The sequence below is a fragment of the Homo sapiens genome, chromosome 16 (genome assembly GCF_000001405.40).
Source record: "Homo sapiens chromosome 16, GRCh38.p14 Primary Assembly".
NCBI classification, from domain to species: Eukaryota; Metazoa; Chordata; class Mammalia; order Primates; family Hominidae; genus Homo; species Homo sapiens.
Window position 1 is genome coordinate 67,973,705 of NC_000016.10, and position 12,614 is coordinate 67,986,318.

Here is a 12,614-nt window from a genome sequence, read left to right on the forward strand (position 1 = left end):
ATGGTTAATTTTATGGCATATGAATTACACTTCAATAAAAACAAATTGCTGAAATTATAAGGATAAACTAATACTGCTAAGTACAGCATCAGATATGAAATATTTCTTTGCTTTTTTTTTTTTTGAGACAGGGTCTCACTCTGTTGCCCAGGCTGGAGTGTAGCAGCACGATCTCAGCTCATGACAACTTCTGCTTCCCAGGCTCAAGTGATCCTCCCACCTCAGCCTCCCAAGTAGCTGGGATCAAAGGCACGGGCCACCACACTTGGCTAATTAAATTTTTTTTTTTTTTCAGAGATGAGGTCTCACTAAATTGCTCAGGTTGGTCTCGAAATGCTGGGTTCAAGCAATCCTCCTGCCTCAGCCTCCCAAAGTGCTGGGATTTCAGGCATGAGCCACTCTGTGCCCAATTAAAAACTATTTATTTTATTTTATTTATTTTTGAGACGGAGTCTCACTCTGTCGCCCAGGCTTGAATGCAGTGGCGTGATCTCGGCTCACTGCAAGCTCCGCCTAGGTTCAGGAAATTCTCCTGCTTCAGCCTCCTGAATAGCTGGGACTACAGGCGCTCACCACCACACTGGGCTAATTTTTTGTTTTTAGTAAAGACGTGGTTTCACCGTGTTAGTCAGGATGGTCTCAATCTCCTGACCTCGTGATCCACCTGCCTCGGCCTCCCAAAGTGCTGGGATTACAGGTGTGAGCCACTGCGCCTGGCCATTTATTTTATATTTTATGAGACACAGTTTCACTCTGTTGCCCACGCTGGAGTGCAGTAGTGTGATCTCGGTTCACTGAAACGTCCTCCTCCTAGGTTCAAGCAATTCTCACGTCTCAACCTCCTGAGTTGGCCAGGCTGGTCTCAAACTCCTGACCTGAAGTGATCTGCGTGCCTTGCCCTCACAAAGTGCTGGGATTACAGGCATGAGCCACTGTGCCCGGCCTCAAAACTTATTTTAAAGTTGCCATAATTAAGACAGTGTGGTATTGATATGATAAACAAATAGTCCAAATAAATGGAAGAGACCCAGACATATATAGACCCTTGTTTATAACATAGGTGGCACTGGAGTCATTCTTTTTCCCAATTCCAAGTTCCCATGGAAGGAACTTAGATCTGGCTCTGGCTCAACTGGAGAGGAAAGCAGCCAAAGACAGAGGCCACTCGAGTGAGCCATACAGACCCCATGAGTTTCCTTTTATTTCTTTTCAAAATTTTTTTAAAGATTTGGTGATTCTGCATCCCCTCCATTTAAAAATTAGTTTTTTAAAAAAATCAGAGGACCTAATCTGAGAAATCTTTTACAAAGGCACTCTCCAGATAATTCCAAACAAGTTATTCTTTTTTTGGGGGACGGAGGAGAACCAAGTCTCGCTCTTTCGCCCAGGTTGGAGTGCAGTGGTGCGAGCTCTGCTCACTGCAACCTCTACCTCCTGAGTTCAAGCAATTCTCCTGCCTCAGCCTCCCGAGTAGCTGGGACTACAGGCATGTGTCACCACGCCTGGCTAATTTTTTGTATTTTTAGTAGAGACAGGGTTTCACCATGTTAGCCAGAATGGTCTCGATCCCCTGACTTCGTGATCTGCCCGCCTCGCCCTCCCAAAGTTCTGGGATTACAGGCGTGAGCCACCGCACCCAGCCGAGTTATTATTTACTCTATAAACAGTATCAGCTTCTAAAAAAAAATTTAACCTTTCGAAGAGAAACTGGGAAGCACCCCACTGTCACACTCCACGAAGGGACTGAAACTGAACGTTTTTGTGTACTTCTGTGGGCTCAAGCTTTTAGCTTAAGAATTTCATAAGATGCCTCTGGCCTTCCTGAGACAGTCAAAGCTGGAGGTGAGTGGGAACCACCCACCTTGAGCAGCTGTGGCTAGACCACAAGATCCCTCACTGACCAAGAGCCCACCTGCCCCCAATCCCGCTAGGGAGAAGGAAGGACATGTGCACCTGGCTCCATGTGTAACATGTTTATTCTCAGCATATGCTTGTGAATGAACTAGGAGAGGGGGCTTTGTGAGGCTTTGCCACAGTGACCTCTGCGGGGACCGACTGTGTCAGCAGAGCCACTGGGTGAAGGTTGGGATGGTGGCAGCAGCCACAAGGCCTGGAACAAGGTATGGGGAGGCATTTGAGGACCTCCAGGGGACCCGATTGGTTGGCTGCTTGGTCACCTCCAGATGAGTAGCCTGGTGTCCATTCTGAGGCACGAGGTGGGAGTGGCAGGATGTGCTCAGTTGCCCATATGGAAACTCAGCCTCCACGGGGCTCTGCGCCCTGCTCTCCTCTCTCACCTGGGGGAGGAAGTCCGCAGTCAGAGGCTCCCACAGCAATCCCCTCCCCTTCTCAAACCACTGAACCATCCTGTCCACCAGCCCAGCTTACCTTTTCCACTTGTCTGAAGACCCGCAGCAGGTTTCCACGAAGGACACCTTGAAGCTCTTCCTCGCTCCAGCTACGACTCAGCAACTCCTCTATCAGGACTGGGTATGTGGACACATCCTCCAGCCCCTGAGGGAACCTGTGTGGCCACCCACCAGCCAGCTGTGGGACCTTAGCCCTGATCCTGGGTTGGGGCCCGCTGCCCACCAGCCCTAGTCACACAGGGGAAACTGAAGGCCAAGTTCTTCAGGCTAGTGAATGCAACCTTGGAGGCTCCTGGAGGACTGGGCTTCTGTAGCCTCCACCTGCTGAGCAGATGGTCAGCCCACAGCAGGTCTGCTAGGCTGGGAGTGGAGCATATCTTGGACAGATGAGCCCTGCCTGCGGAGGGGAGTATTTAGCAAGTATGACAACTTGGAGTGGGGCCACTGGGCCACTGAAGGGACAGGGAGAAACTAGGAAACAGGCCCTGAGAGTGGGGAGTGTCAGGTGGGATAGGAGACCAGAGCCTGTGGCTGAGGCCTGGATGGGAGGACGTCAGGATGGGAATGAAGACTAAAGGACTCCCTGCTGCACCCCAGCCTAAGAGAAACCTCAGGGAAGCACTCACCGGCCAGTCCCGTCATAATTTCCACCAATCCCGATGAACTCAGATCCAATGACTGCCCTGATGTGGTCAAAGTGATCTAGGGTGGAGGTGAGGGTGGGCAGCACTAGGCTAGTTAGACCCTGGCACCAGCCCTGTCCCCAGCACTCCAGGCTGTGGCAGTTGGCTCCACAGAGCTAGCTCATGGCCAGTCATGAGTCCTGAAGCGGGTACAGGCTGGTCACTGGACCTAGAGTGGACCTTGGAGCCACCCCTTTGGGACTTTTCCTGCCCAGGAGCCACCCTGCCTCTGGGTTCCTTGAGAGCCTGGTGCAGGCTGAGCCTGTCCTGCCCAGAGATGTGGGGAATGAGAGAAGTTCAAGGATTGGGAGCAAAACCAGGAGGCATCAAACACATCAGCACTGACTCTGTGGCTCCAGATCTGGGTGGCACTGAAGAGCTGTGTCTGCTGCCTCTGGGTCGTTGGGAGGTCTGCCCATTGCCCAACAGGTGCACTAGACTGCTAGAGTCGTCCTGAGGGCCCTGGCAGCCACAGCCCAAGCCAGCACTGCACAAAGCTGAGGTGGGACTTACCTGCCACAGTGGACACGTTAGCAAGCAGGTTGCACTGCAGCACCCCCATGGACAGTGTCACCATCACGATGCCACCGTTCTTCTTCTAGAGGGATAAAGGGATACTCATCTCAGCCCTTCTGGCCTGAGAACATGCCTCCTGTGCTGTGGGGGCCCTGGTAGGACTGTGCTCCATCCTGGCTTCAGGGGTTGGAAGAGGCTTCACCTCTCTGCGTTTGTGGGTCCCTGAGTGGAAATTACTTGGCCTTAAGTTTCAGGGATGGAGGAGGATTAACCAGCCTTTGGTCCAAGGGTGTGTGAAACCTGGGCTGGTGGCTTTGTGCTCAGGGTCAAGAACCTTTGGATAACACATGCCTAGTTTGAGAGCTGGGATGGCCACTCACCAGAAGCTGCAGGATATCATCGGGAACATTCAACAAATTGTCACACACAGCTCTGGCAGCTGAGTGGGAGAAGATCACAGGAGCCTGAGACACTTCCAGGACCCTTCTTATCAAGGTGTCCGATGCATAGGACAAATCTATCATCATGCCCAGGCGGTTCAACTCCTCTACTACTTTCTGCAGAAACAATTAGGTTTTTTTGTGGGGGAGGGTGTTGGGGTGCAAAGGTGTACACACATATCCGTAGGCAGCAGGTGGGTTGGGGTACAAAACAGGAGTCCTCACCTCACCAAAGCTTGTCAATCCGCTGACGTTGGTGTACATGTGGTGTCTGAACTTGGTGGAACTCTCTGCCCTGCAGGACAGCCATGGAAGGGCAATTTAGCTGATCACACCTTGGGCCATCACAGCCTGGGGGCCCTGGCTCTATCCATCCATCCTGCTTCCAGAACAGGTGCAGAACCAGCTGCTTTCTGGGATTGTGAGGGACCCACTGGGTGTCCAGCCTCCCTCTGCGGACCCCTTCATCCTCAACGGCTTGGTCACACCCATGCCAGGAATGGGGCAGTTTCCACACCATGCCATCTAGCATCCTGGCCAGGTGTTATGCTCACCATGGTGTACTGCAGGTGAAGGTAAGTGTCAGGTAGCGCACCCCCAGCACATAGAAACTGCGCAGCACAGAGAGGCTGCTGTCCAGTGAGTGACCACCCTCCACGCCAATGAGGCAGGCCAGCTTTTGAGAGCTGTTCAGACCTAGAAGGAGGTAGAGAGTCAAGTGGTTAGATCCCAGGAACAGAACCTCCAGAGTGACATCCTGACTACCTCTCATCTGCTGGCCCACCTTCAGCTGAGGTCACAAGCTCGAGTTCAGAGTAGGAGGCACACATGCGGTGAATGAGGTCAATCTGCTCCAGGGCGAGGCGCACGGCAGTCTGGTCCTGGGACTGGCATGAGACGGAGGCTGACCAGAACTGAGGGTAGGTCAAGGGGTCCAGAATGAGGCCAGGGCGGTCTTCAACCCCCTAGGCCTGCCACTCCTGCCTCAGACCCCATAACACCCATTTGGGTCAGTGGCCCCAAGTGAGGCACTACATGACTCCATGGTACCTTGATGACTTTTTTTAAAATTATTTTTTATTTTTATTTTAAAATTTGAGACAGGGTCTTGCTCTGTCACCCAGGCTAGAGTGCAGTGGTGTGATCATGGCTCACTGCAGCCTTGACCCCCCAGGCTCAAACAATCCTCCTGCCTCAGCCTCCCAAAGTGTTGGCATTACAGATGTGAACTACCGAGCCTGGTTCCTTGATGACTGTTTGCTGCCAGCAGTCAAATGATGGACTCACGACACATCATAAATTACTGTTACGGCCAGGCCAAGTGGCTCATGCCTGTAATCTCCACACTGTGGGAGGCCGAGGAGGGTGGATCATGTGAGGTCAGGAGTTCGAGACCAGCCTGGCCAACATGGTAAAACCCTGTCTCTACTAAAACTACAAAAATTAGCAGGGCGTGGTGGCGAGTGCCTGTAATCCCAGCTACTCAGGAGGCTGAGGCAGGGAGAATTGCTTGAACCCGGGAGGCGGAGGTTGCAGTGAACCGAGATCGTGCCACTGTACTCCAGCCTGGGCGACAGAAGGAGACACTGTCTCAAAAATGCAAACAAACAAACAAGCAAAAAACTGCTGTTAGTCCATGTGCTATGTGAATGCCCCAAGGCCAATCCACTATGTCCTTTGTGGTTACGGCAGACCCCACACTCACCAGGGATTTTCTGGTCATTTTCTGCGTGTTTCCACAGAACCTGGGCATACATGCAGCTAGCCTGTCTTGGCCTCCAAGGCCCCACTCTCCTTAGAAACCACATGATGGCACACTGCATGCCCCATTGTATTTAGTCACCCAGAGGCTGGCTGACCCAGGTTTCTGTGACCCCAACATCCCCCAGCAGCCATGCTGTGGCACCCTGTGTGTCCCTGTGGTACCTGGGCACCCACGAGGCCGTCTCTAAGCCTGTCCAGGCTGGTCTGACCATGGCTGAAATTTCGCAGGTTAACATCCTGAAGCACATTCTTGTAACGCTGTCTCAGGACCTGGGGCAGGTCATTGTGGCTGGGGGTGTGAAGGTCAGATGGAAACACCGCCTCCAGATCAGTCAGGATATATCAGGTGCTTGGGTCTACCCTCCTCCACCCCACCAGGCACCTCCTCACACAGACCATATAGAGACCTCCTGAGGTTGGGTTGGAGGGAGGGGGTTAGATTCCACCAGGAATGGAGTAATGCGGGGAAGGGCACCCATGGGTGATGGAGGAGAGAGGGCATCCAGGGGTGGTGTGAGGGAGCCTCCTTGATAGCCTCCTTGATAGCATGCTCAGAACCTCCTCTCCTGCCCAAGGGTGTGCTCACCCCGCGTTGCCCAAACGCTGCACCTACATACCCGTCCACGAGTGGGAAACTCCGCATCAGGGCCTGCGCGCGACCCCGAAGGTCCAGGGTTTTGGGGGTGCCTGGCGTAGTGAGGCCTGGGGTAGTGAGGGCGCTGGGGACACCCGGCGTGGTGAAGAGGCTGGGGGAGCCCAGCGTGGAGAGGGCTCTGGGGGCGCCCGGCGTGGTCTCCGCGCGGGTTACGGGCTGCCGCAGCAGCAGCAGCAGTAGCAGGAGCAGCAGACGCCGCAGATACCGCCGGCTGAGCGCGCGGGAACCCTCGCGGCCCGTGGGCTGCATGTTGCGCGGGGGTCGGCCGCGGGAGCCTGGGAGGAGCAGGCGATGGGCAGAGGCCGACAATGGGGTCCGGATCATGACGACCCAGCCTCCCGAAGAGGGGGTTGAAGTCACGCGACTCTGAGACCGACGCGCCACGCAAGGGGGCGCCACGGCTTTTCCGCCCCCAAGCAGGAGAGCGCCCCCATGGGCCGGAACCGCCGCTGCAGCGTCGAGGACTCCTCGCCCTTCCACCCCCAGCGCTGGCTCCGTAGACCCCCACACGAGTGGGGGAGGAGGCCAGGCAGGGAACTAGTAGGGGCCCAGGGATCTTCCTGATCTCACCTCCTACCCAGGCCCACGTGGCGGTTAGCTGCCGGCTTGTGCCCAGCTCCTAGGCAGGTCAAATATTCTAAGCTGCGACTCAGAAGAGTTAATTCGGTCTGTCTGGTTTGATGGACAGAAAGATTCCCTATAGGTATTTCATTTCATTTCATTTCATTTCATTTCATTTCATTATTTCATTTCATCTCATTTCAGTTTTGAGACGGAGTTTGGGTCTTGTTGCCCAGGCTGGAGTGCAATGATGCAGTCTCGGCTCACTGCAACCTCCACGTCCCGGGTTCAAGCCATTTTCCTGCCTCAGCCTCCCGAGTAGCTGGGATTACAGGTGCCCGCCACCATGCCCAGCTAATTTTTGTATTTTCAGTAGAGATGGGGTTTTACCATGTTGGCCAGGCTGGCCTTGAACTCCTGACCTCAAGTGATCCTCCTGCCTCGACCTCCCAAAGTGCTGGGATTACAGGCGTGAGCCACCGTGCCCGGCCCCGAAAATGAAATTTAAGAACAATTTTTGTTGGGGATCATTATTTTAGCTTTTTTTCCTTCTCCAAGAGACAGAGTATCTGTCACCCAGGCTGGAGTTGCAGTGGGGTGATCATAGCTTGCTGCAGCCTTGATCATAGCTTGCTGCAGCCTTGAACTTCTGAGCTCAAGCGATCCTCCTTCCTCCACCTCCCAAGTAGCTGAGACTATAGGTGCAGTGCCACCATGCATGGCTAATTGTTATTTTTTATTTTATTAAAACAAATTTTTTTTTGAGACAGGGTCTCACTGGAGTGCAGTGGCACCATCTCAGCTCACTGTAGCCTCGACCTCCCAGGTAAAAGTGATCCTCCTGCTTCAGCTCCCTAAGTAGCTGGGAGGGACTACAGGCATGCACCACCATGCCCAGCTAATTTTTGTATATTTGCATTTTTTTTTAGAGACAGGGTTTTACCATGTTGCCCAGACTGGTCTTGAACTCCTGAGCTCAAGCGATCTGCCCACCTAGGTCTCCCAAAGTGCTAGGATTACAGGCATGAGCCACCACGTCCGGCCTTATTTCTTTTTTAGAGACGTGGTTTTTTTTTTGAGACGGAGTCTCACTGTGCCACCCAGGCTGGAGTGCAGTGGCTCCATCTCTGCTCACTGCAAGCTCCGCCTCCCGGGTTCATGCCAGTCTCCTGCCTCAGCCTCCCGAGTAGCTGGGACTACAGGCGCCCACCACCATGCCCAGCTAATTTTTTGTATTTTTAGTAGAGACCGGGTTTCACCGTGTTAGCCAGGATGGTCTTGATCTCCTGACCTCGTGATCCGCCCACCTTGGCCTCCCAAAGTTCCGGGATTACAGGCGTGAGCCACCGCACCGGGCCGAATATTTTTTTCTATATATATGTTAGTATACAGACACAAAAATGAGAGGTGACAGCGTGCTGGCAGCCCTCACAGCCCTCGCTCCCTCTCGGCACCTCCTCGGCCTTGGCGCCCACTCTGGCCGCGTTTGAGGAGCCCTTCAGCCCGTCGCTGCACTGTGGGAGCCCCTTTCTGGGCTGGACAAGGCTGGAGCCGGCTCCCTCAGCTTGCGGGTAGGTGTGGAGAGAGAGGCGTGGGCGGGAACCGTGGCTGCAGGCTGCGCTTGCGGGCCAGCTCGAGTTCCGGGTGGGCGTGGGCTTGGCAAGCCCCGCACTCGGAGCGGCCAGCCGGCCCGGGCAGTGAGGAGCTTAGCACCTGGGCCAGCAGCTGCTGTGCTCGACTTCTCGCTGGGCCTTAGCTGCCTCCCCGCCGGGCAGGGCTCGGGACCTGCAGCCCTCCATGCCTGAGCCTCCACCCCCGCCGTGCGCTCCTGTGCAGCCCAAGCCTCCCCGACGAGCGCCAACCCCTGTTCCACGGCGCCCAGTCCCATCGACTGCCCAAGGGCTGAGGAGTGCGGGCACACGGCGCCGGACTGGCAGGCAGCTCCACCTGCGGCCCCGGTGCAGCATCCACTGGGTGAAGCCAGCTGGGCTCCTGAGTCTGGTGGGGACTTGGAGAATCTTTATGTCTAGCTAAGGGATTGTAAATACACCAATCAGCACTCTGTATGTAGCTCAAGGTTTGTAAACACACCAATCAGCACCCTGTGTCTAGCTCCGGGGTTGTGAATGCACCAATCGACACTCTGTATCTAGCTAATCTAGTGGGGACGTGGAGAACTTTTGTGTCTAGCTCAGGGATTGTAAACGCACCAGTCAGCACCCTGTCAAAACGGGCCCATCAGCTCTCTGTAAAACAGACCAATCAGCTCTCTGTAAAATGGACCAATCAGCAGGATGTGGGTGGGGCCAGATAAGACAATAAAAGCAGGCTGCCCGCTCTTTCAGTAGCAACTTGCTGGGGTTCTCTTCCAGGCAGTGGGAGGTTTGTTCTTTTGCTGTTTGCAATGGCTGTTGCTGCTATTCCGTTTTTGGATCCATACTGTATGAGCTGTAATACTCACTGCGAAGGTCTGCAGCTTCACTCCCGAAGCCAGCGAGGCCATGAACCCACGGAGAGGAACGAAGAACTCCGGACTCGGCGCCTTGAGACCTGTGACACCACGAAGGTCTTCAGCTTCACTTCTGAGCCTGCGAGACCGCGAACCCACCAGAAGGAAGAAACTCCGAACACATCCAACCATCAGAAGGAACAAATTCCGGACACGCCACCTTTAAGAACTGTAACACTCACCGCGAGGGTCTGTGGCTTCATTCTTGAAGTCAGTGAGACCAAGAACCCACCAATTCCGGACACAAAAAGACCCCAGAAGAGTCTACACATCAAATGTTAGTTAGCAGTTATCCTCTCGGGAAGAGATCTACCTGCACCCTGATCAGTTTGCATCTCATTTCTTTATTATGGTGATACTGGCTAAGGGAAATCATGGGTAGTGCTGGTGAGGGCTAATCAGGGTCATGGGGGTTGGGGGAGGCACCACAGCAGTAGCTGAACCTTGCTTCAAAGGTCTGGATCGGGCATGGAGGAGTGGAGAGGGGATCCAGGGTTGGCTAACAGCCCAGCAGAGGTCTAGTTTGGGCATTACAACAACTGTTGTGGAGGAGGCACAGGTGGATTCTCTAAGGCATGGAGTTGAGGGACAAGATCAGACTAGGTCTCTTGGTCCTGAGAGCATGAGGGGGCTTGGTCTGACACGTTATTTCACCTGGGGCAGAAATCCTCCTTAAAGACAATACAAGGCTAGCTTCCAGCAGCTCCTCGTCATTTCCTGTTGAAAAAATCCTGGTGCAGGGGAAATAGATCTCAAAACTGCATCTGGGGCCGGATGCGGTGGCTTACCCCTATAATCCTAACACTTTGGGAGGCTGAGGCGGGCAGGTTGCTTGAGTCTAGGAGTTTGAGACAAGCTTGGCCAACACAGTGAAACCCCATCTCTACTAAAAATACAAAAATTAGCTGGGCAGGGTGGTGTGTGCCTGTAATCCCAGCTACTGAAGAGGCTGAGGCAGGAGAATCACTTGAACCTCGGAGGCGGAGGTTGCAGTGAGCCGAGTGCATTGCACTCCAGCCTGGGCAACAGAGCAAGACTCCGTCTCAAAACAAACAAAAACTGCATCTGGGTCAGCGCAGTGGCTCATGTCTGTAATCCCAGCACTTTGGGAAGCCAAGGCAAGCAGATTGCTTGAGTCCAGGAGTTTGAGACCAGCCTAGGCAACATGGTGAAATCCTGTCTTTACTAAAAATACAAAGTATTAGCCAGGCGTGGTGGTGCGCACCGGAGGTCCCAGCTACTCCAGAGGCTGAGGTAGGAGAATCACTTGAGGCCAGGAAGTTGAGGCTGCAGTGAGCTGAGATCGTGTCACTGCACTCCAGCCTGGGCAATGGGAGTGAGACCCTGTCAAAAAAAAAAAAAAAACAACGCTGGGGATGGTGGCTCACGCCTGTATTCCCAGCACTTTGGGAGGCCAAGTTGGGTGGATCGCCCGAGGTCAGGAGTTCGAGAGCAGCCTGGCCAACATAGTGAAACCCCGTCTGTACTAAAAATACAAAAAAAATTAGCTGGTCCTGGTGGCAGGTGCCTGTAATCCCAGCTACTCGGGAGGCTGAGGCAGGAGAATCACTTGAACCTGGGAGGCAGAGGTTCTAGTGAGCTGAGATCGCGCCACTGCACTCCAGCCTGGGCAACAAGAGGAAATTCCGTCTCAAAACAAAACAAAAAAAACCCTGAATCTGGGTAGCATCTGAACTTCCTGGGCCAGTTGCTGCTGAGAAAGGCCAATGACACAGACCGAATCTAAATTATCTTCCCTCTGCGTCTGTGTCTGTCTCTTGTTTTTCCACCTGGGCTCCCTGATAAGTGGGCATCCCCTTCTGGGCACCTCAAGAAGGGCCTTGGCCTCTGGCGACCACTTCCCCTTGTTGGTTGCTGTCTGCTCCTCCTCATGCCTGGGGGTTAATGGCCAAGTGTGACCCAGCTGCTTCTAGCTTTGGTTCTCTCAGGAAGGGCAGAGAAAGGTCATGTTTATTTTGGTCTCCCATAAATCTCCCCGGCCTGCCCAGAAGGTCTTTATTTAAGTGACTTGGAACAACATGAAGAATGGCAACTTTGCTAATAGTTTAAGAAAAGTGCAGAAGCATTGCATGTGCACCTGTTTCCTATATTATTATTATTATTATTATTATTATTATTATCATTATTATTTTAGCTTAGTTTTGTTTTGTTGTTTTTGGGTTTGTTTTGTTTTGTGTTTTTTTTTTGTTTTGTGTGCTACTCTGTCACCCAGGCTGGAGTGCAGTGGCGTGATCTCGGCTCACTGCAACCTTTGCTTCCTGGGTTCAAGTGATTTTCCTGCCTCAGTCTCCCAAGTAGCTGGGACCACAGGCGCGTGACACCACAGCCGGCTAATGTTTTGCGTCTTTAGTAGAGATGGGGTTTCACCGTGCTAGCCAGGATGGTCTCGATCTTCTGACCTTGTGATCCGCCCGCCTCGGCCTCCCAAAGTGCTGGGATTACAGGTGTGAACCACCGCTCTCAGCCTATTATTTTAAATTGTTTTGCTGGGCATAGTGGCACACGCCTGTAATCCCAGCACTTTGGGAGGGCAAGGTGGGTGGATCACTTGAGTCTGGCAGTTTGAGACCAGCCTGGGCAACATGGTGAAACCTCGTATCTACAAAAAATACAAAAATTAGCTGGACATGGTGGTGCGCGCCTATGGTCCCAGCTACTCAGGAAACAGAGTGGGGAGGATCACTTGAGCCCAGGGGGTTGAGGCTGCAGTGAGGCATGATTGTGCCACTGCACTCCAGCGGTGACAGAGACCCTGTCTCAGGAAAAATAAAAAAAGTATTATTTTAATGGGCAGCCCCCAGAACTGGAAGAGGTTCAGAGGACTCCCTATTTCCTACATTAGACATGTGAAAAGGACAGGGCATGAAGTTACAATTAATTTTTTAAATGTTATCAAAATAATACATAAGCACAGTTTAAAATGTTTGCTTATGGTTGGCTAGGTAAATCAAAGTTACCCTACTCCATCTGGGCACAGTGGCTTACTCCTGTAATCCTAGCACTTTGGGAGGCCAAGGTGGGAGGATTGCTTTAGTCCAGGAGTTCGAGACCAGCCTGGGCAACATAGGGAGATCCCTGTCTCTATAAAAAAATTTA

At 53.1% G+C, this 12,614-nt stretch overlaps 1 protein-coding gene across 2 annotated transcripts, besides 3 other annotated features; it reads right to left on the bottom strand.

Annotated features, from left to right (window-relative positions):
- Positions 1-1,958: 1,958 nt before the first annotated feature.
- Positions 1,959-6,795, bottom strand: DPEP3 (dipeptidase 3). 2 transcript variants are annotated; one of them, NM_001129758.2, is made up of 10 exons: positions 6,390-6,795; positions 5,935-6,061; positions 4,793-4,922; positions 4,563-4,704; positions 4,234-4,303; positions 3,949-4,125; positions 3,566-3,647; positions 2,996-3,071; positions 2,389-2,524; positions 1,959-2,297 (listed from the first exon to the last, which is right to left on the bottom strand). In NM_001129758.2, exons 1-10 carry the CDS (start codon positions 6,674-6,676, stop codon positions 2,061-2,063), a joined length of 1,464 nt encoding a protein of 487 aa, NP_001123230.2. In that variant the 5' UTR covers positions 6,677-6,795; the 3' UTR covers positions 1,959-2,060. The 2 variants fall into 2 exon arrangements, with proteins under 2 accessions (NP_001123230.2, NP_001357127.1); NM_001370198.1 differs by having other exon boundaries at positions 3,566-3,650.
- Positions 6,119-6,619: an enhancer, noted in NCBI's record as "H3K4me1 hESC enhancer chr16:68013726-68014226 (GRCh37/hg19 assembly coordinates)". NCBI's record gives its function as "activates a minimal SCP1, AML or CMV promoter by ChIP-STARR-seq in primed H9 embryonic stem cells {active_cell/tissue: H9 hESC(primed)}" and the evidence as "EXISTENCE:reporter gene assay evidence [ECO:0000049][PMID:30033119]".
- Positions 11,000-11,099: a silencer, noted in NCBI's record as "silent region_7636". NCBI's record gives its function as "represses an Ori minimal core promoter by ATAC-STARR-seq in GM12878 lymphoblastoid cells {active_cell/tissue: GM12878}" and the evidence as "EXISTENCE:reporter gene assay evidence [ECO:0000049][PMID:35858748]".
- Positions 11,222-11,516: a silencer, noted in NCBI's record as "tiled region #6452; K562 Repressive DNase unmatched - State 5:Enh". NCBI's record gives its function as "represses a minimal TATA promoter and a strong SV40 promoter by Sharpr-MPRA in K562 cells {active_cell/tissue: K562}" and the evidence as "EXISTENCE:reporter gene assay evidence [ECO:0000049][PMID:27701403]".

Coding starts and splice junctions, on each gene's coding strand:
- DPEP3 (NM_001370198.1), bottom strand. CDS start 6,676: ATGCAGCCCACGGGCCGCGAGGGTTCCCGCGCGCTCAGCCGGCGGTAT. Junction 3,072..3,565: donor TAACGTGTCCACTGTGGCAG/GTAAGTCCCACC, acceptor CCTCCACCCTAG/ATCACTTTGACCACATCAGG. Junction 2,298..2,388: donor TCTTCAGACAAGTGGAAAAG/GTAAGCTGGGCT, acceptor TTCCTCCCCCAG/GTGAGAGAGGAGAGCAGGGC.